General features: G+C 49.1%; 2 protein-coding genes across 10 annotated transcripts in view; one reads left to right on the forward strand and one right to left on the reverse strand.

Annotated features, from left to right (window-relative positions):
• The window catches only part of SPACA6 (sperm acrosome associated 6), a 30,458-nt gene extending 22,039 nt beyond the window's left edge, over nucleotides 1-8,419 (forward strand). For 5 of the 6 annotated variants that reach the window (NR_024330.2, XR_007066593.1, XM_017026300.3 and 2 more), the window contains one exon: nucleotides 366-466. Coding sequence is in view for 4 of the 6 variants with exons in the window: in XM_017026300.3 (XP_016881789.1) it covers nucleotides 366-399 (34 nt within the window). In the remaining 2 variants the exon portion in view is untranslated. Of the gene's footprint in view, nucleotides 1-365; nucleotides 467-7,308 lie in introns of those variants that run through there. The other variant, XM_017026299.3, reaches the window with a different exon arrangement.
• HAS1 (hyaluronan synthase 1) lies at nucleotides 8,388-19,267 on the reverse strand. 4 transcript variants are annotated; one of them, NM_001297436.2, is made up of 5 exons: nucleotides 19,201-19,267; nucleotides 14,482-15,171; nucleotides 12,244-12,469; nucleotides 11,532-11,664; nucleotides 8,388-9,378 (listed from the first exon to the last, which is right to left on the reverse strand). In NM_001297436.2, exons 1-5 carry the CDS (start codon nucleotides 19,207-19,209, stop codon nucleotides 8,703-8,705), a joined length of 1,734 nt encoding a protein of 577 aa, NP_001284365.1. In that variant the 5' UTR covers nucleotides 19,210-19,267; the 3' UTR covers nucleotides 8,388-8,702. The 4 variants fall into 4 exon arrangements, with proteins under 4 accessions (NP_001284365.1, NP_001514.2, XP_047294675.1 ...); NM_001523.4 differs by having other exon boundaries at nucleotides 14,482-15,174; XM_047438719.1 differs by lacking the exon at nucleotides 11,532-11,664.
• Nucleotides 19,268-19,708: the final 441 nt, after the last annotated feature.

Genomic DNA, 19,708 nt, shown 5'->3' on the forward strand with positions numbered 1-19,708 from the left:
CAGGTCCGCAGCCCCTCCTCCCTCAGACCCAGGATTCCAGGCCCCAAACCCCTACTCCTTCAGACCCAGGAGTCCAAGTCCCCAGTCCCCTCCTCCCGCAGATCCAAGAGTCCAAGCCCCCGGACCCCCTCCTCCCTCAGACCCAGGAGTCCAGGCCCCCAGCCCCTCCTCCCTCAGATCCAAGAGTCCAGACCCCCAAGTTTCTCTTCCTTCAGACCCAAAAGCCCAGGCCCCCTGCCCCCTCCTCCCTCAGAACCAGGAGTCCGGGCCCTGTACACCTTTTTGACCCTGGTGTCCAGGCTCCGGGACCTAAGTTTCTAGTCACCAACCCCTCCTGTAACACACATACCTCTTTGTTTCCCCAGGATGTTCTTTCGATGGTACTGCAGTGGCAACTAACAAAGGTATCTTTCCTCCTTCCCTATCCTATTTCCATCCTGAAAATAAAGAATATATTTCAACTCTAGATTGTTTCATCTCCGAAGGTGGTCACTACTAACTCAGGTAGGAGGAGGTGCAGCAAGCCCACACATGCCCAGATGAATATGGCCCGCATAATGACAGTGATAGGCATAGCTATCCCAGTGCAAGTTAGGTGGGAACCCAGATACCCCCTCAGGTTACTGGCTGTCTCCTTGACATTTCCATCTGCAGAAGGCACCCTCAAATAGAGTCCTCCATGTTGCCCTCAGAGGCTGTTCCTCCCCAAGGCTTTCCTCCTACCAGAAAGAGCAACACCATCCACCTAGCAGTTCAAACCAGAAACCTTGGAATCTAACTTCTCCTCCACTTCCAATTCATTTTCATTTCCAACCCTCAGACTTTTTAACTCCTAAATATCTCATGAAGCTGCCTTCTCTGTGGTCCCAGTCACCCCCACCTCATGTCTGGATCACTGGAGCAGCCCCCCACCACCTCCTTGGCCTCTCTCCACTGTAGCCCATTCTCTACATACCAGCAGGACTTGTTTTATTTTATTTTATTTTTTTGGAGGCACCATCTCACTCCAAGGCCCAGGCTGGAGTGCAGTGATGTGATGTCAGCTCACTGCAACCTCCACCTCCCGGGTTCAAGCGATTCTTCTGCCTCAGCCTCCCAAGTAGCTGGGATTACAGGTGCCCACCACCACACCCGGCTAATTTTTGTATTTTTAGTAGAGACAGGGTTTCACCATGTGGCCAGGCTGTTCTTGAACTCCTAACCTCAAGTGATCCACCTGCCTTGGCCTCCCAAAGTGCTGGGATTACAGGCGTGAGCCACCAAGCCCGGCCAAGGACTTAGGTTTTAAAGTGTGTCAGATTGGGTTACTCCTCTACCCAGAATCCTTTAGTGACTCCCTGTTGCCATTGAGACAAAATCCAATTCCTTGTCAAAGCCTCAGAGGTTCCACAGGTCTGGCCTTTGCTGACCTCACCAGCAGCCTTGTCCCATACCCCTTTCCTCCTTGATCTTGCCACCCTGCGGTTTTTCTCTGGCCTTTCCTCCTTCCTCGCATTCATCATGATACTTCTTGCCCTCTCTAGGGTCTTGGTTCACACTGTTTCCTGCCTAGAATAATATTTTCTCCTTTTTTTTGTCTAGTTAACTCTTATGATTTCCCCTGAGTAGCCATTACATCTATTAACCCCGCTAATCCCCTTGACAAGTCTGCGCGGCTGGCACTGTATTGACTTAACTGACTCTACCTCTCCCTCAGGCCCCTTGCTACTTTCCAGCCCCAGTGGCCTCCTTATTAGGTCCCTGGAACATGCAAGTCTCAGTCCCATTTCCAGGCCTTTGCTGTGCTTCATACTTGAAATGACTTTCCTCTGAGTATCACAAACCCACCTCTCTCATTGCACAGATCCCAGATCAAATGTCTCCTTCTCTAACTACCTCTCTCTCCCTGTTTGACATTGCCCAATTTCACCTTGTTCACTGAGCTCATCTGGACCTAATGTTAACTCTTTTTTTTTTTTGAGTTTCGCTCTTGTTGCCCAGGCTGGAGTGCAATGGTGCGATGTCGGCTCACTGCAACCTCCACCTCCCGGGTTCAAGCGATTCTGCTGCCTCAGCCTCCCGAGTAGCTGGGAACACAGGCATGCGCCACCACACCTGGCTAATTTTGTATTTTTGGAAGAGACAGGGTTTCGCCATTTTGGCCAGGCTGATCTCAAACTCCTCACCTCAGGTGATCCACCTGTCTCAGCCTCCCAAAGTGCTAGGGGATTACAGGCGTGAGCCACCGCTCCCAGCCGTTAACTCATTTTTTAATTTGGTTTTGCCTTTCCTACCTGAAAGGGAAGCTCCTTTTGAGCATGTACTCATTCTTGTTCACTGGTCTATTTCCCTTTATTGATTTGCTCATTCAGCAAATATTTATTGAGTGCTTACTATTTTGTCATGTATTTTCAAGGCACTGTAGAGATCCCAATGAAGAAATCAGAAGAGACAAAAAGTTTGTACAGTACTCACATGGAACTTACATTCTAGTGGACAGTAAAACAAAACTGTTTCTCTCTCTCCCTTTTTTTTTTTTTTTTGTTTTGTTTGAGATGGAGTCCTGGAGTGCAGTGGCACAATCTTGGCTCACTGCAGCCTTTGCCTCCTGGGTTCAAGCAATTCTCGTGCCTCAGTGTCCCGAGTAGCTGGGACTACAAAGGCGTGTGCCACCATGCCCAGCTAATTTTTGTATTTTTAGTAGAGACGGGGTTTCAATATGTTGGCCAGGCTGGTCTCAAACTCCTGACCTCAAGTGATTGCCTGCCTCAGCCTCCCAGAGTGCTGAGATTATAGGCGTGAGCCACCGCGCCTGGCCAGAAAACTGTTTCTCTACTCTCAACATTTCTGACACTACATGTATGGGATTCTACCTCCTGCCCCCATACCAACCAGTTCTCCAACTCTCCCGGACACCAGTTGAGTGTCCTATAATTCATTTAATTCTAAAATCAACAACCCAGGGTTAGCGTCGCACTACACAGGTTTTAAGAGCTCAGGCCCACAAGACTGCCCCCACTTCAGACACCAGTCGCAAGCCAGGGGCTCCTGCAACCTGCAGCCCCCCAGCTCAGTAATTTGCTAGAATAGCTTGAATAACTCAGGGAAACATATTTACTGGTTTATTATAAAGGAGAGTATGAAGGAAATAGCTTAATAGCCAGATGAAGAGGTAGATAGGGTGAGGTCCAGAAGGGTCCCAAGTGCAGAAGTTTCTGTCTCCATGGGAGCTGGGATGCAGCGGCCTGTCAGTGCGTGGATGCACTCACCAGCCTGGAAGCTCTGCAAACCCCATAGTTTAGGGATTGTTCTGGAGGCTGCACCATGTAGGCATGATTGCTTATGAACTTAGTCTCCACCCCTTTTTCCCTCCCCAAGGACTGGAGGGGGCAGCGGGTGAGGCCGAAAGCTCCAAGCTCCTAATCATAGCCTAGTCTTGCTGGTGACCAGCGCTCTTCCAGGAGACCACCAAGAGTCACTTGAATAGAACAAACGATGCTGTTATCACCCAGGAAATTCAAGAGATTAGGAGCTCTATGTAAGACGCTTCTGTTGCCCACATCACTCCAGAAAGTACAAGGGTATAAGACTGTCAGAAACCAGGGACAAACACCAAATATGTATTTCTTACTATGTCACAGACAATAAGAAAACAGTAAAATACGAAATATGGTAATATGTGTGATGGAGAAGATAAGCAGAGAAATGGAATATGGGGCCGAGGGAAGTAGCAGTAGGATCTGTGGAGAAGCCCTCACTGAGAAAGTGACGTTTGAATAAAAACTTGAAGGGGATGACGGTATGAGCCATTATGGATATTTGTGTGAAGAGTGTTCCAGGTGGCCAGGCGAGGTGACTCATGCCTGTAATCCCAACACTTTGGGAGGCCGAGACGGGTGGATTACCTGAGGTCAGGAGTTCAAGACCAGCCTGGCCAACATGGTGAAACCCTGTCTCTACTAAAAATACAAAAATTAGCCTGGCATGGTAGCACATGCCTGTAATCCCAGCTACTCAGGAGGCTGAAGCACGAGAATTGCTTGAACCTGGGAGGCAGAAGTTGCAGTGAGCTGAGATTGTGCCATTGCACTCCAGCCTGGGCAACAGAGTGAGACAATGGCACTCCGGCCTGGGCAACAGAGTGAGACTCTGTCTAAAAAAAAAAAAAACTGTTCCAGGCAAAAATTTAAAAAGGGAAAAGCCCTGAGGCAGGAGTGCCAGGCACATGGGAGGACAGCCGGGAGGACATCCAGGAGGCCAGTGTAGCTGGAACAGGGCCTTAGGAAGTGGATACACAGTGAAGTCAGAGACCATGGGGACCAGATGGTGCTGCTGGCTGCTATAAAGTCTAGACTTACCTCTGTAAGAGATGAGGGTCGGCTGGGTGTGGTGGCTCACACCTGTAATCCCAGCACTTTGGGGGACCGAGGCTTGAGCTTGAGAGGTCAAGGCTGCAGTGAGCCATGATTACATCACTGCAGTCCAACCTGGGCTACAGAGTGAGAACCTGAATCAGAAAAAAAAAAAAAAAGAGCAAGGTGCAGTGGCTCATGCCTGCAATCCCAGCACTTTGGGAAGCCGAGGCAGGCAGATCACCTGAGGTCAGGAGTTCAAGACCAGCCTGGCCAACATGGTGAAACCCCATCTCTCCTAAAAATAAAAAATTAGCCAGGTGTGGTAACAGGTGCCTATAATCCCAGCTACTTTGGAGGTTGAGGCAGGAGAACTGCTTGAACCCGTGAGGCGGAGGTTGCAGTGAGCTGAGATTGCGCCATTGCACTCCAGCCTGGGCAAAAAGAGCGAAACTGCATCTCAGGAAAAAAAAGGCAAAAAAAAAAAAAAAAAAAGATGACATGAGCCATGACTGCACCACTGCAGTCCAGCCTGGGCTACAGAGCAAGACTCTGTCACAAAAAAAAAAAAAAAAAGAAAAGAAATAAAAGATGAGCGTCACGGGTGGCTTTTGAGCCAAGCAAGGGCAGGCAGGTCATGACTTGATTTCCATGGCTACTGTGTGGCTAACAGACTGGGGCAAAGTGGAAGCAGGCATCGCTGTGAGGTGCTGCAGTAATCCAGGGACGAGATGCAGCCCTGGGGAACAAGGTCGTGAGGAGCAGTGGCTCTAGATATGTCTTGAAGGTAGAATCAGTGGGATTTGCTGATGGTTCAGAATGTTGGATGAGAGAAGGAGAGAGGCCAAGAGTAACCACAGTGGCACTGTGCAGTCAAACCCTCTGCCATGTTGGAAATATTCTAGATCTGCACCGTCCAGTAGCGCAGCACCAGCCACGTGTGGCCGTGAAGCATGTGAAAGGTGACCTGTGCGACTGAGGAACTGAATCCATAATCTTAGGTAGCTCTTCAGGCAAGAAAGGGTGTCAAAAAAAATAAAAATAAGAAAAAAATCAACTCAGGTAGCTGTAATAACTTTAACATTACATAGTTCCTGCTCTATGACAACAGCATCATAGAGGCCTATGTGAGTATTCTTACCTGTGGCTCACTCTTAACTCTTTGTTTACTTGACTAAGAGCTCCTTGAAGGCAAGCTTCTTAATTGTTTCTATACTTGCAGACTTGGCAGAGTGTGTGGCATTCAGTAGGTGCTTGGTGAATGTTTTGGTGACTGATGAATCAAAGAATGCATGAATGGGAAAAAAATGTTTTAGACTTCCATGTGGTAGTGGCTAGTGATGGACAGTTACAGCTCTAGCATTTTTTGGCCTGAGCAGCTGGGAGGATGAAGTTCTGTTTACTGAGATAGACTGATGGAGGAGCAGGTTTCACGGGGATTAGCAGGGAGGAAGGCGAGAAGATATTAGGAGTCTGGTTTGAGATGCCTATTAGGCATCCAAGTAGAAATGTCTTGGAGGCAGTTGGATATACAAGCCTGGAATTTAAGGGCGAAGTCTGGTCTGAAGATCTGTTTGGGAGTCCCGTCTCCATACATGGAGCATGAATGAAGTATTCAGAGCCATAACACTGGAGGCACAAGGGAAATGGGTATAGATGGGTAAGAGACGAGGATGAGAGGATCCAGGAAAGAAAACAAGGTGGAGGAAAGCAAGGTAGCTGTGGCTTCCTGAAAGCCAAGTAGCTATGCTTGGTGGCTCACACCTGTAATCCCAGCACTTTGGGAAGCCGAGGCTGGTGGATCACTTGAGGTCACGAGTTTGAGACCAGCCTGGCCAACATGGTGAAACCCTGTCTCTACTAAAAATACAAAAATCAGCTGGGTGTGGTGGCACATGCCTGTAATCCCAGCTACTTGGGAGGCTGAGGCAGGAGAATTGCTTGAACCTGGGACGCAGAGGTTGCAGTGAGCTGAGTTCACACCACTGAACTCCAGCCTGGGCGACAGAGCAAGACCCTATCTCAAAAAAGAAAAAAAGGAAGTCAAGTAAAGAAAGCGTTTCAAGGAAGAGTGATCAACTGTGTCAGACACAGCCAAATCATGAAATAGGGCTGAGAATTGGCTATTGGTTTTAGCAACGTGGATATCATTGATGAACTTGACAAGAGCAGTTTCTATGGAGAGCTAGGGGAAAGCATGACCATCTGATTGGCTTGGGTTTAAGAGTTAATGGAAGTCAACATCATTAGTCATTAGAGAAGGGCAAATCAAAACCACAATGAAAGCCACTTCACACCTGCCAGGAAGGCTGTAATCAAAAAGTCGGGTAATACAAAATGTAGCAAGGGTGTAGAGAAATTAGAACCCTCATACATTGCTGGTGGGAATGTAAAACGGTACAGTCCCTGTGCAAAACAGGCTAGCAGTTCCTCAAAAAAATTAAACATAGAATTAACATAAACCCAGCAATTCAATTTCTAAGTATATACCCAAGAAAATTAAAAAGCTGTGCCCACACCAAAACTTGCACACGAATGTTCATAGTAGCATCATTCATACAGCCAAGAGGTGGAGATATCCCAAATGTCCATCAACTGATAAATACATAAACACAATGCAATATAGCCATACTGTGGACTATTATTTGGCCATAAAAAGGAATGAATCAGTGATACATGCAACAACATGGATGAACCTTGATATGCTAAATGAAGGAAGTCACAAAAAAAAGCACATACTGCAGGATTGCATTGATATGAAATAGCCAGAATAGGTAAATCTATAAAGAGAAAGCAGATGAGCAGCTGCCCAGGTCTTAGGGGGATAAAGGGGTGAGAAAGGAGAAGTGAGCTGCCAATGGATATGGGGTTCCTTTTGTGGGGTGATGAAAATGTTCTAAAATTAGATTATGGTGGTGGCTGTGCAAACCTGTAAACTTAACTAAAAACCATTGACTTGTACACTTCTTTTTTTTAGATGGAGTCTCATTCTGTCACCCAGGCTGGAGTGCAGTGGCACGATCTCAGCTCACTGAAACCTCTGCCTCCCAGGTTCAAGCGATTGTCCTGCCTCAGCCTCCTGAGTAGCTGGGATTACAGGCACATGCCACCATGCCTGGCTAATTTTTTTTGTATTTTTAGTAGAGATGGGGTTTCACCATGTTGGCCACGCTGGTCTCGAACTCGTGACCTCAAGTGGTCTCCCTGCCTCGGCCTCCCAAAGTGCTGGGATTACAGGTGTGAGCCACCGCGCTCAGCCAAATTGTACACTTTGAGTGAGTGAACTCTGTGCGAGATAAATTGGAGACAAATATGGACAACTCTCCCAAGGAAATTTGCTATTAACCGAAATAGAAATGGAACAGTTGTTTACAGGGAAACTGAGGTCAAGAGTGGGGGTCTTAAAAGTGGGAGAGTAACAATATGTTCAGATGCTGATGGGAAAGGCTCCGAAGCGAAAGGAGAACTGACGGAGGATCAGGTGGGAAGAACTGCTGGAGTGAAGTCTTTGAGCAGACAAAGAGGACATAGGGTCTGGTGCCCTGATGGAAGAGGTTGGCACTGGCTTGGAGCACAGACAGGTCACCCTCAGCAACAGGAAGAAGGTGGAGTGTATGGACACAGGGGCAAGTGAGTGGGAAGACGTGGAGATGGGGACTCCAGCAGAAGTTTTCTTTTTTAACCCCTATTTTCTCAGTGAGATAGGAAGCCAGCTAAGAGGGAGGGGAGGAGGTGCTGGAGGTTTGAGGAGAAAAGGGATGTGTTACCCTTCTAAGTAGACGGACCAGAGACAAAAGCACCATCTGCAGTACCTGCCAGTGTGCGGCAGGTGGCAGGTGCTTGGTAAGTACCCGTGAATGAGTTGAGTAATTTAACCCTCACACCAACCCTGCCCCAGGGGATTAATAATCCCTGTTTTCAAAAGAGGGAACCCCAGGTTCCAAGGAAGGAGAGTGTCTTGTCCAGGTTCAAACGGCTAGCACCCAGCACTGAGCCCAGCGTCCCCAATTCTCAATCATCCATTCCCCTTAGTTCTCAAAAAGGTGGAGGCTGGGGGAAAATAAATAAAATTCTTTATTACATCCTGATCACACAGTAGAAATGGAGATTAAATAAGAACGAGGAGAAAGCAGGACCCTTTCCCTCCACTCCTCAGATCCCACACCCTGACCAATAAATACCCTCCCTGGAGACCCAGAAGTCCCAGTCCCAATATAGTCCAGACTGAAGAATCTTGGGCTGACCCCCTCGTTTTGCAGAGGAGGGAAACTGAGGCCCAGAGAACCACCCAGCAAGTTCGTGGCTCGGGGCCCAGCAGCTCTCCTCTGGCCTCCCCTGAAGACCCTTGAGGCGGCATCCGCGTGGCTGGACTCACACCTGGACGCGGTAGCCCCCGGTCCGCCGCCGGCAAAGCCTCCGCACGCCCACCCAGTACAGCGTCAACATGGCCACCCAGTAGCCCACGTAGGCGCCGGCCCCCGCGGCCAAGTGGTAGGCCTCGGCTGCGCGGGAAGGGCCGCTCCAGTCGGCCCTGGCCTCGTGTGCTACGCTGCGGACCAGGCCCCCAAGCAGCAGCAGCGCCCAGAGCGCCAGGGGCAGCAGAGGGACGTAGTTAGCGGCCAGCTTCCGCCGGCCCGAGGTGCCCCAGCCACTCTGGTTCATGGTGACTAGCGCCAGGAACTTGGCAGGCAGGAGGCCACACATGTAGAGGGGCGCGTAGAGCGACAGAAGCACCATGCGCAGGCAGCCCCGCAGCCAGGCCGCGAAGGCCGCCTTGGCCAGTGCCACGCCCTGCACGCACAGCAGCACCCACAGCAGCGCCCAAGGGCGGCCCGCGTAGAACAGACGCAGCACAGTGGCCGCCACGAAGAAGGGGAACAGGCCGGAGACCACCGCCTCGTAGGTCATCCACGCATGGTGCCGGTGCCACCAGAGCGCGTTGTACAGCCACTCACGGAAGTACGACTTGGACCAGCGTGTCTGCTGGCTCAGCCACCGCAGGAAGGACGAGGGCGTCTCTGAGTAGCAGCGGGACCTGGAGGTGTACCTGCACGGGGGCGAGGAATGAGGGCATCATCGCGTGCTCCCTGGGGCCTGGGCAGGATTCTGGAGGCAGAAATGACCACTGTGGACGGCCACTGGGGGCGAGTTTCTTAACCTCTCTAGGCCTCAGTGTTCTCATGTGTAGAATAGGGTGGATAATGGTTCCTAGGCCTGGACGCGGTGGCTCACTCCTGTAATCCCAGCACTTTGGGAGGCTGAGGGATAAGGAGTTCAAGACCAGCCTGGGCAACATAGCAAGACCCCATCTCTACTAAATAAATAAATAAATAAATAAATAAGCACCAATGGGTGGGATGCAATGGCTCATGCCTGTAATCCCAGCACTTTAGGAGGCTGAGGTAGGGGGATCACTTGAGGCTAAGAGTTTGAGATCAGCCTAGGCAACATAGTGAGACCCCATCTCTAAAAAAAAAAAAAAAAAAAAAAAATTAGCCGGGCGTGGTGGCCTGTAGTCCCAGCTATTTGGGAGGCTGAGATGGGGGAATCACTTGAGCTCAGGAGTTTGAGGCTGCAGTGAGCCATGATCGTGCCCCTGCACTCCAGCCTGAGCCTGAGCAACACAGCAAGACTCTATCTAAGAAAAAAAAAAAGGCTCTCATAAGACAAGGATACTGTAAGGATTGAATGAAATTAAACGCCAAGTGCTTAGGACCAGTAGATAGTATTTGCTCAATAAATGTTAGCTACTACCGTTTTTACTATGACTATTGCTGTTACCATTACTATTGCTGTTACTAATATCATGTTGGTTACTGACACTATTACTAATACTATCACTAACATATTACTAATACTACCATGCTTACTATTACTGGCAGGCCCTATAGGGAGGAGCAAGATGGGTGTGGTTGCTACCCAGGGTAGTCTATGTATTAGAACTTCTCAAGGGAACCATCAGGCCTCCTTCCTGTTTTGTGGCAGACATCATTAATCAATCCCTGCATGGTTTCCAGCCAAGCCCACACAAGAGGAGAATCCTGGGCATTACTTGACAGTGTCCAGACTCCTTCCCCTGTGTCACTTGGCATCCTCAGTGGCCTCCCTGCTTCCGACCTTGCCTTTTGTAGTCTGTACCCAAAACGGCTGCCAGAGGGATCCCATTACAACGTGTCACTTCTCTGCTTAAAACCCTCCCATGGCTCCCTCATCTTAGTCAGAGTCCTTAGACCTATAAGCCTTTCATGAGTGGACCACTCCTTAACTCTCCATCCTGCTCTCCTAATACTCCCCCAGTTCAGTGCTCCAGCCACACTATTCTCAGCCTTGAGCCCCATCCTACCTCAGGCACTCCACTTAACACTTCACCCCCAACCCCAAAACTTCCTATCCACCACCCTTGCCCGGCATTATTTATCTCCATAACACATATCATGAACATACTGTATGTTCTACTTATTTATTTCTTGTGTGTCTCCCCAACTGATGTAATCAATTGGTGTCCTGTCTGCCTATTGCTGTATCCCCGCAGCTTAAACATTCTAGGCACCTAGTGAATATTTGTTGAGTGAATTAATGCATGGATTCCCCTGGATTATCCCAAGTTTCCTCTGGGTATTTCAGTGGACCTGGCTTTGCAGAAATCACTCTCCCCTGAACTTCACTTGGTCTAGATCATCCTCCCCTGAGTCTCATGGAATTACTTGTCTTCTCTTGAAGAACTTACTAGAGTTCAGGTGCTCCTCTTCTCTCACTTGTTTCTTTCTCCGTGGCTCTCTCACTAGTTAGATCCCACTCTATCCATTTGTCTCTTGCCCTTCCTACTTCACTCCCCACTGTGCTACCTTGGTCTCCATGACAGAACCAACTCACCCTATCTCAATTCTAGGTGGAATTCTCTACCCTCACCTTGCCTCTCTTGGTAGAGTTCACCGCATTCCATGGTTCAATGCAAATGCCAGCCTTGTCCCTTATAGTATCTTCCCCTCTTCCCTAATATCTCACTTGGTAGAGTCCATTGGCTCAATGCAAATGGCCCCTCTGCCCATTATGGTATCCTCCTCTCTCCTCTAAAGTCTCACTTGATAGAGCCCATTGTCTGGTGAGTTACTTTGGATTTGGAGAACTCTCAGCATGCACACACGCTAGGATATTCATTGGCCTCCACACATACCCGACCACCTGGTCCCCTCAGCTTACTTGGTAGCATAACCCATGCTGAGCATGCGGTTGGTGAGGTGCCGGTCATCCCCAAAAGTACAGTGGGTACCCAGGAACTTCTGGTTGTACCAGGCCTCAAGAAACTGCTGCAAGAGGTTATTCCTATATAGGCCTGGGTGGAGGGGAGGTGTGAAAGAGTGTCAGCCTCTGCTGTCACCAACACCAACTCCAATGCTGTTTCCAGCCCCAACCCCATCTCCAGTTCCAACCCCATCCTCAGTCATCATAATCTCAATCTCAGCACTATCTCCAATCCCATCTCCAGCCCGAATCCTGTCCTCAACCTCATACGCACTCCAACTTGCCTGTCATTGAACTATACCCACTGTGACTGCAAACCTGCCCACCCCAGTCTCATCACCAATCCCATATCCATTCTCAGCCCCATCCAAAACCCACTGCAACCTCAAACCTGGCTCCAACTCTGTCTTTGACTCCAAGCCTATCCCATCTTCTTCCCCAGCCCCAGCCCCAATCGTCATCCATATCCTTTTTCCAACCTCACTCCCCACACCAAACTCAGCTTGAGCCCAAGCAGCATCCTCACCGCCAGCTTCCAGTTTTATCCCATCCCCAATTCCTGCCCTGCTGCATCTTTGTTCCCAACCCCAGTCACATCCTCAGCCCCATCCGGCTTCCCTTCTCCCTTTCCACCCCATCCACAGCCCTCCCAATCTCTGCCCCTGCTTACCTAGAGGACCGCTGATGCAGGATACACAGTGGAAGTAGCTCTGACAAGCCCGCTCCACATTGAAGGCTACCCAGTATCGCAGGCTGCTTAGGAAGCTGACCCAGGAGTCCAGAGGGTTAAGGATCCGCACGTCCCCACCAACAGCCCCTACCCGGGGGTCCTCGTCCAGTACCCGCACGAGCTCCAGCAGTGCCATGGGGTCCAACCTTGTGTCCGAGTCACAGACCTGTAAGGTGGAAGGGGCCAGGATCAGCACAGACCCCTGCATCAGGCTGATGCTTGAGAGGAAGGCATCAAGGGGTGCAATGCAGCTGGGGCACTCTGCAACCGATCTGAACATAATTTTGAGATTTTTTAAAGTCATTTTCAATGTGTAGTCACAGTTTAACATGTACTCCAAGATGCACATCCTTGTATGAACATGAACAATAAGACATATACCATCTCCTCTGGTGTGTGAGTGAGACCCCTAACTTGCTACTAAGCAATAGAATATGGCAGAAGTTATGGGATATAACTGCCATGATTATATTACCTAATATGGAAATGGTGAATAGGTTTTGCAATGTAATTAAGTCCCCAAATCTCTTGACTATAAGTTAATCAAAAGGAGATTATCCTGGGTGGGCCTGACCTAGTCAGGAGAACCTTTAAAAGCAGACCTAGAAGTCAGAGAGTCTCCTTGCTGGCCTTGAAGAGGCAAGCTACTGCTACCATGAGTTCTATGGCTGCAAGAAAGTGAATTCTGCCAACCAACAAATACATACGCTTGAAAGATAACCCCAAGCCTTAAAAAAGACCCAGCTCCAGCTGACACCTTGATTGCAACCTGGTGATATCCTGAAAAAAGGATCCAGTTGAGCTGTGCTGACTCTGGGCTCATAGAAACTATGAGATAATAAATGTGTTTCGTTCAAGCTGCCAAACATATGGTAACTTGTTATGCAGCAATGGAAAACTAATATAATGCATTAGAATTGCTACACCAGGCCAGGTGTGGTGGCTCACACCTGTAATCCCAGCACTTTGGGAGGCTGAAGTGGGCAGATCACCTGAGGTCAGGAGTTTGAGACCAGCCTAGCCAACATGGTGAAACCCTGTCCCTGCAAAAATACAAAAATTAGCCAGGCATGATGACAGGTGCCTGTAATACCAGCTACTGGGGAGGCTGAGGTGGGAGAATCACTTGAACCCAGGAGACAGAGGTTGCAGTGAGCCGAGATTCAACCATTGCACTCCAGCCTGGGCAACGGAGTGAGATTCCATCTCAAAAAAAAAAAAAGATTGCTACACCAAATGGGATGGATGAATGAGATAAATAAATGAAATTAATCTGTATATTGAATACATAGATAGATGGCTGAGTGGTTGAATGAAAGAATCTCAACACTGAAGGAGGGGAAAGGAAGGAGGGAAGAAGGAAAGAAGAAAGGGAACAAATCTCCACATTTAATAGATAAATGAATGAATAAATGAGTAAATGATCTCCATATTGGATGGATAGATGGTATATCCATGAGTGAGTAAAGAAAAAGAATTTCTACACTGAATGAAGTAAGGAAGAACTTTTATTTATTTATTTATTTGAGACGGAGTTTTGCTCTTGTTGCCCAGGCTGGAGTGCAATGGTGCAATCTCGGCTCACCGCACCCTCCGCCTCCCGGGTTCAAAAGATTCTCCTCCCTCAGCCTCCCGAGTAGCTGGGATTATAGGCATTCGCCACCATGCTCGGCTAATTTTTGTATTTTTAGTAGAGACAGGGTTTCACCATGTTGGCCAGGCTAGTCTAGAACTCCTGACCTCAGGTGATCCGCCCACCTCAGCCTCTCAAAGTGGCCGGCTGGAAGGGTTTAATTTTACATTGAATGGATGGATAACTGAATCAGTGGATGAATGAACAAATGAATCTCTATATTGAATGGATGGATAGATGAATGGATGAGTCAAGAATGAGTGAAATTGTCTCTTCCTGGAATGCGTAGGTGAATGAAAAAAGGAAAGAATGCCTCTACATTGAATGGGTAAATGAATGAATAAATGAACGAATGATCTCCATATTGGATAAAGGGATAGATGGATGGATGAAAGAATGAGTGAAGGAAAGAATCTCTCCACTGCATGGATGAAAGAATAAAGAAAGGGAGAGAGTCATTCAAATCTGTACATTGAAGGAAAGACCCCAGGAAAGTGGGATTTGGGTGTTCGGGTCACGAGTGGGCTGAAGGCGCCTCTACTCACCTGCACGTAGTCCACCGAATCTCCGAGCGCCTTGAAGGCTGTGTACATGACCTCGCGCTTGCCGCCCCAGCGCTGCGCCACGCACACGCACCTGCGAGTCCTCACCAGCGCCTCCACTGCCAGCCGCCCAGGATCCTCCGCCTCCACCTCCCGATAGGCTCCGGCGCCCACCGCGCCCGCCGCCGCGGGTTCCCAGGGCTGGTGGTAGTTGCCGTCCCACACGTACGTGGCGGGGTCCTCGTCAGCGAAGACCTCGCGGAACATGTCGACCATGTAGAGGTCCTCGGCGCGGTTGCCATCCACCACCATGAGGACGCGCAGCCGCGCGCGCGGGTACAGCAGGGCGCGGGCGGACGCCAGGCACTGGCGCAGGTACGCGGGGTCCTCCTGGTAGGCGGAGATGGTCAGCGCCACACTGCGCGCGGTGGCTGCATCCAGCGGCCCCCGCGCCGCCGCCGCCACCCGCCGGTGCTCCAGGTACGCGAAGAGGCTCTGCGCCACCAGGTGCGCTGAAAGGAAGGCCCCGTAGAGGCCGAAGGCCAGGAGGCCGTAGCGATCGGAGGCCAGCGGCACCCCGGCGGCGTAGGCCCAGGTCATGAGGCCCAGGATGAGCAGGGCGAAGGCGATGGTCAGCACCCTCCGGGCCAGGCCGGAGCAGCGGCAGGCTGCAGGAGTGGGCTTGGGCGCGTCCTGCTGGGAGCGAGAGGGGAAAGGAAGGGGCATGAGTCCCGGGCGCATGAGCCTCCTCCGAGAGAAGATTAAAAATCCTTTCCTTCCTTCCCTCCTTCCCTTTCCCTCCCCTCCCTCTCTCTCTCCCTCCCTCCGTCCTTCCTTCTCTTTATCTTTCTCTCTCTCTGTGTCTGTCTCGCTGTCTCTCTCTCTCTCTCGCTCTCGCTCTCCCTTTCTCTCTCCTTTCGTTTTTTGTTTTTTTTTTCTTTTGAGACAGGGTCTCACTCCAGCCTAGTGTCGCCATCTAGGCTCACTGCAGCCTCAGCTTCCCGAGCTCAGGCTCAGCCTCCCACCTCAGCCTCCCGAGTAGCTGGGACTACAAAGAGTGTGCCACAACTCCTGGCTAATTTTTAAATTTTTGGTAGAGCCGGGGGTCTCCCTACATTACCTAGGCTGGTCTGGAACCCCTGGGCTCAAGTGACTTGCCTGCCCCGGCCTTCCTAAGTGCTGGGATTACAGGCATGAGCTACCTCGCCGGGCCCCAAAATTATTTTCATTAACGAAAATAATTGGAGCAAATAGCTATCTAGGCTTCATGCTGATTAGATTCCTTCTTTTCATTATTATTTATTTTTATAGACAGGGTCTTGCTCTGTCGCCCAGGCTGGGGTGCAGTGGCACCATCATAGCTCACTGCAGCTTCTAACTCCTAGGCTCTGGCGATTCTCTCACCTCAGTCTCCCAAGAAGCTAGGACCACAAGGCTGGAGTCACTATGCCTTGCTAATTAAAAAAAAAACAATTAGAGGAGGGGTCTCACTATGTCTCCTAGGCTCCAGTCTCCCAAAGTGCTATGAATACAGGCATGAGCCACCAAGCCCAGCCTGATTTTGTTTCTTCCAATACAACTTTTTTCCACGTTTTGAAATCTCTTAAATCCGTGAGGATGATTGCATGCGATGGAGTGTCACAATTTAATTACTAGGGCGTTTCCCTCCTCTTTCTTAGTGGCACATACAATGAGGATTTATCTCCCAATCAAAGGTTTCTTAGGGTTGAGACAGTAATAATAATAACACATACTAAAAAACCAAAATGCTGTGTACCAGTCCCTGCTCTAAGCCTTTAAGATGAATGAATTTATTTTAATCTTTACAACAGCGCTGTAAGGTAGGTACTGTTATTATTATCCCCGTTGTACAGATGAGGCAACTGAGTCACACAGAGGTTCAGCAATTTGCCCAAGGTTGTCCCTGGAAAGCAGAGGAACCTGGATTTGAACCCTAGGAACTGAATCTCTAAACCTCTAGCCCTCGGGAGAGCCCTGGGGGACAGATAGTGCTCTGCCACCATACAGGTGGCCAAACTGAGGACTGATTGGCCAGAAGGAGTGGCTTGCACAAGATCAGCAGCCCATGGTAGAGGACTCTTCTCTCTGACTTTCCAGAGGCATAGCCTGGTTCTCCTTTTCCACTGCCCAACTCCCCAGCAGAGCCAGGTGCCCCAGTAAATGTTGCTGGAAGAGCCCAGAATCAGAGGAAAAAGTACTTTCTGTGTGCCAGACACTACTGTACAACAACCTTAATATATATATATAAATTTTTTTTTAAATTGAGACAGGGAGCCAGAAACTGTGGCTCACGCCTGTAATCCCAGCACTTTGGGAGGCGGAGGCGGGTGGATCACCTGAGGTCAGGAGTTCGAGATTAGCCTGGCTAACATGGCGAAAGCAAAATACAAAAATTAGCCAGGCTTGGTGGCGCACGACTGTAGTCTCAGCTCCTCAGAAGGCTAAGGCAGGAGAACTGCTTGAACCCCTGAGGTGGAGGTTGCAGTGAGCCAAGATGGCACCACTACACTTCAGCCTGGGTGACAGTGCGAGACTCCATCTCGAAATAATAATAATAATAATAGAGACAGGGTCTTGCTGTGTTTCTCAAGTTGGTCTCGAACTCCCAGGCTCTAGCGATCCTCCTGCCTTGGCCCCCTAAAGTGCTGGGATTATAGGCGTGAGCTACTGCACCCGGTCTCTACAACAATCTTATAAGGCAGGTACCTTCACTGTCTTCTGTTACAGATGAGGAAACTGAGACACTGAGAGGCAAATACTTTTACCCAAGGTCACTCAGGTAATAAGCAGAGTCAGAAGTAAAACTCAGGCAGTCTGGCTCTGGCGTCCCCTCTACGCTAAACTGCCTCCTATGCCACCAGTTCCTGCCTCAAGGCTTACTGTGGGTTATTTAAATGCGTCGTTAAGATGTAGATCTTTGTGTCCAACACAGGTGTCAGCAGCCACATGTGTCTACCGAGTACTTGAAATGCAGCCAGTATCACCGAGGAACTGAGTTTTAAATTTTATTTAATTTTAATTCATTTAAATTTAAAAACTCTTACTTGATTCGGTTATTGGAAAGATTTTAAATATGTCTGGAACAAGTTGCATCTACGATGCCCCTTTTATAATTGTAAATCTTATAAAATCTAAACACAGATTAGGTATTTCCAGTGAAAAGGTAGCATCTAAGTGAGAAGTGCTATGAACACACTGGATTTTGAAGGCCAAGTCTGGGGAAAAGAAAGTAAAATAGCTCATTAACATTTATGTATTGATTACATATTGAAATGATCATATCTTATATGTAGCAGGGGTCGGCATGCTAAGACCTGCTGCAGCCTGCAGGCTAAGAATTTGTGTGTGTGTTTTTAGATGGTTTTTGAAAGCCAAAAGAAGAATAATAGTTTGTGGAGCATGAAAAATATGAAATTCAAATTTCAGTGTCCTTAAAGGAAGTTTTATTTGCATACAACCACATTCATTTGTTTATACATCATCTGTGGCTGATTCTACATTTACCACATCGAAGTTGAGTACTTTCAAAAGAGACCAGATGGCCCCCAAAAGCCTCAAATATTTAATATTGGGCCCTTTATTTAAAAAAATGTGCTGGCCCCTGACACACTGGGTTAAATAAAAATATATTATTAAAATTAATTTCACCTGTTTGTTTTTACTTTTTCAAATGTGGCCACAAGAAAATTTTAAATTAGATATTGTGGTTTTCGTTACATTTCTAGAGGACAAAACTGAGGTACAGCTTTTAAACTCTCAACATTAAACATTATTCTTTCTTCTCGAATCCCCCTTCTCTCTTCCTTTGCTTCAAACCTGGCCTTGCCTGAGTTCCTAGGGATGGCTCAATTCATGCTGGGGATCCAGAGAGTTGATTCCAGAAACACAGATGAACACACGTGTAGACACACTCCCCCACACGTGAACTCACACATGATGAGTGACACACAGAATGAAATTACTCGTGTTCTACAGGATGACCCGAGACACCCACTCAGGCCAAACACAGCGATCCCGTGACCCCCACCGACGGCCACACAGGTGAACCTGCAGACACACACCCCTCAGCAGGAAAAAGCAACACCAGCAAAGGATGTCCACGTGGCCACAAACACACAGAGCCCCAACTGAGAGTCTGGGGCAATGGGATGCACAGGGAAGATTTCAAGAGAAATAGTAGGTGACTGTCAAGCTGATACTGAACCAGATGAAATTGCTATTCTTCCAAGTTTAGAGTGGCTCAGTATCGGCGATTTCATTTGGTTCAACTTAATAGCTATTGAACGCATGAAACAGAAATCCATTCCCATGTGCCACAGGCAAATCCAACTCTCTTTCTCACTCAGTCTCTTTCATTCGCTCACTGTCGCACTCCCTCTTTCTCTCTGCCTCCCAGGGAACATAGACATACACAAGTTTGTAGCAAGATACGCAGATACAGAAATACGGACATGGCACGTCTCACCTACATGTACTTGGGATGGCCGCTCACACAGGGCAATGTATACACAGACCTGCACACTCAGCCTCACATGCTCACTGTCCCCTACACACATATGGTCACTGTCAGGCACATGGATACACACATGAAATCATGCACACACAGTTCCCCAACACACGTGGTCACACATATGGCAGTAGTTTTCCCCACATGGCTGTATACACACACACACACACACACACACACACACACACACACACCTGTCTCATCGCAGTGGGTCTGGCCGGGCTCTCTCTTCTCTCCGGCTTGCTCTCCCAGCCTCTCTGTGGCCAGAGAGCTGGAGGGGGGTCATTTGAAGACCAGCGCAGGCGGGGGCGGGAGCGAGCGCTGACGTCAGTCAGGCTAAGCTGGGCCAGGGGCTCTGAGGTCACGGCCCAGCCGGGCAGCTCCACCCGCTTCCCGCTATTACTCCCACCCCCCTCAGCCAGACGGGCCTCCCTTCCCAGGCCCCCATGTCTACCCGCGCCCCTCCTCTAGTCCTCTCTGCCATCACTCCCCCTCCTCTCCCTCCCTCCTCTATGTCTTCTTCTCTCTTCCTCCCCCCTCTCGTCCCTTGTCTCCCCTGATTTTTCTCTTCCACCTCACTTGCATTTTGGGGGTTCCCCTCATCCCCCCATCCCCTATCCCTGTATTTCCCTCCATCCCTTTCTTTCTCCCTAACCCACTATTTCTCCTCATCTCTTTGTTGGTACCCTCATCTCTCTCCCC

The sequence above is a fragment of the Homo sapiens genome, chromosome 19, assembly GCF_000001405.40.
Source record: "Homo sapiens chromosome 19, GRCh38.p14 Primary Assembly".
In the NCBI taxonomy this organism is placed as follows: domain Eukaryota; kingdom Metazoa; phylum Chordata; class Mammalia; order Primates; family Hominidae; genus Homo; species Homo sapiens.

What these genes read in the sequence shown, in the direction of transcription:
- HAS1 (NM_001523.4), bottom strand. An exon ending in ATTCGGTGGACTACGTGCAG is followed by an intron (nt 12,470 to 14,481) that starts GTGAGTAGAGGC and finishes TCCACCTTACAG; the next exon opens with GTCTGTGACTCGGACACAAG. An exon ending in CTGCATCAGCGGTCCTCTAG is followed by an intron (nt 11,665 to 12,243) that starts GTAAGCAGGGGC and finishes CCCTCCACCCAG; the next exon opens with GCCTATATAGGAATAACCTC.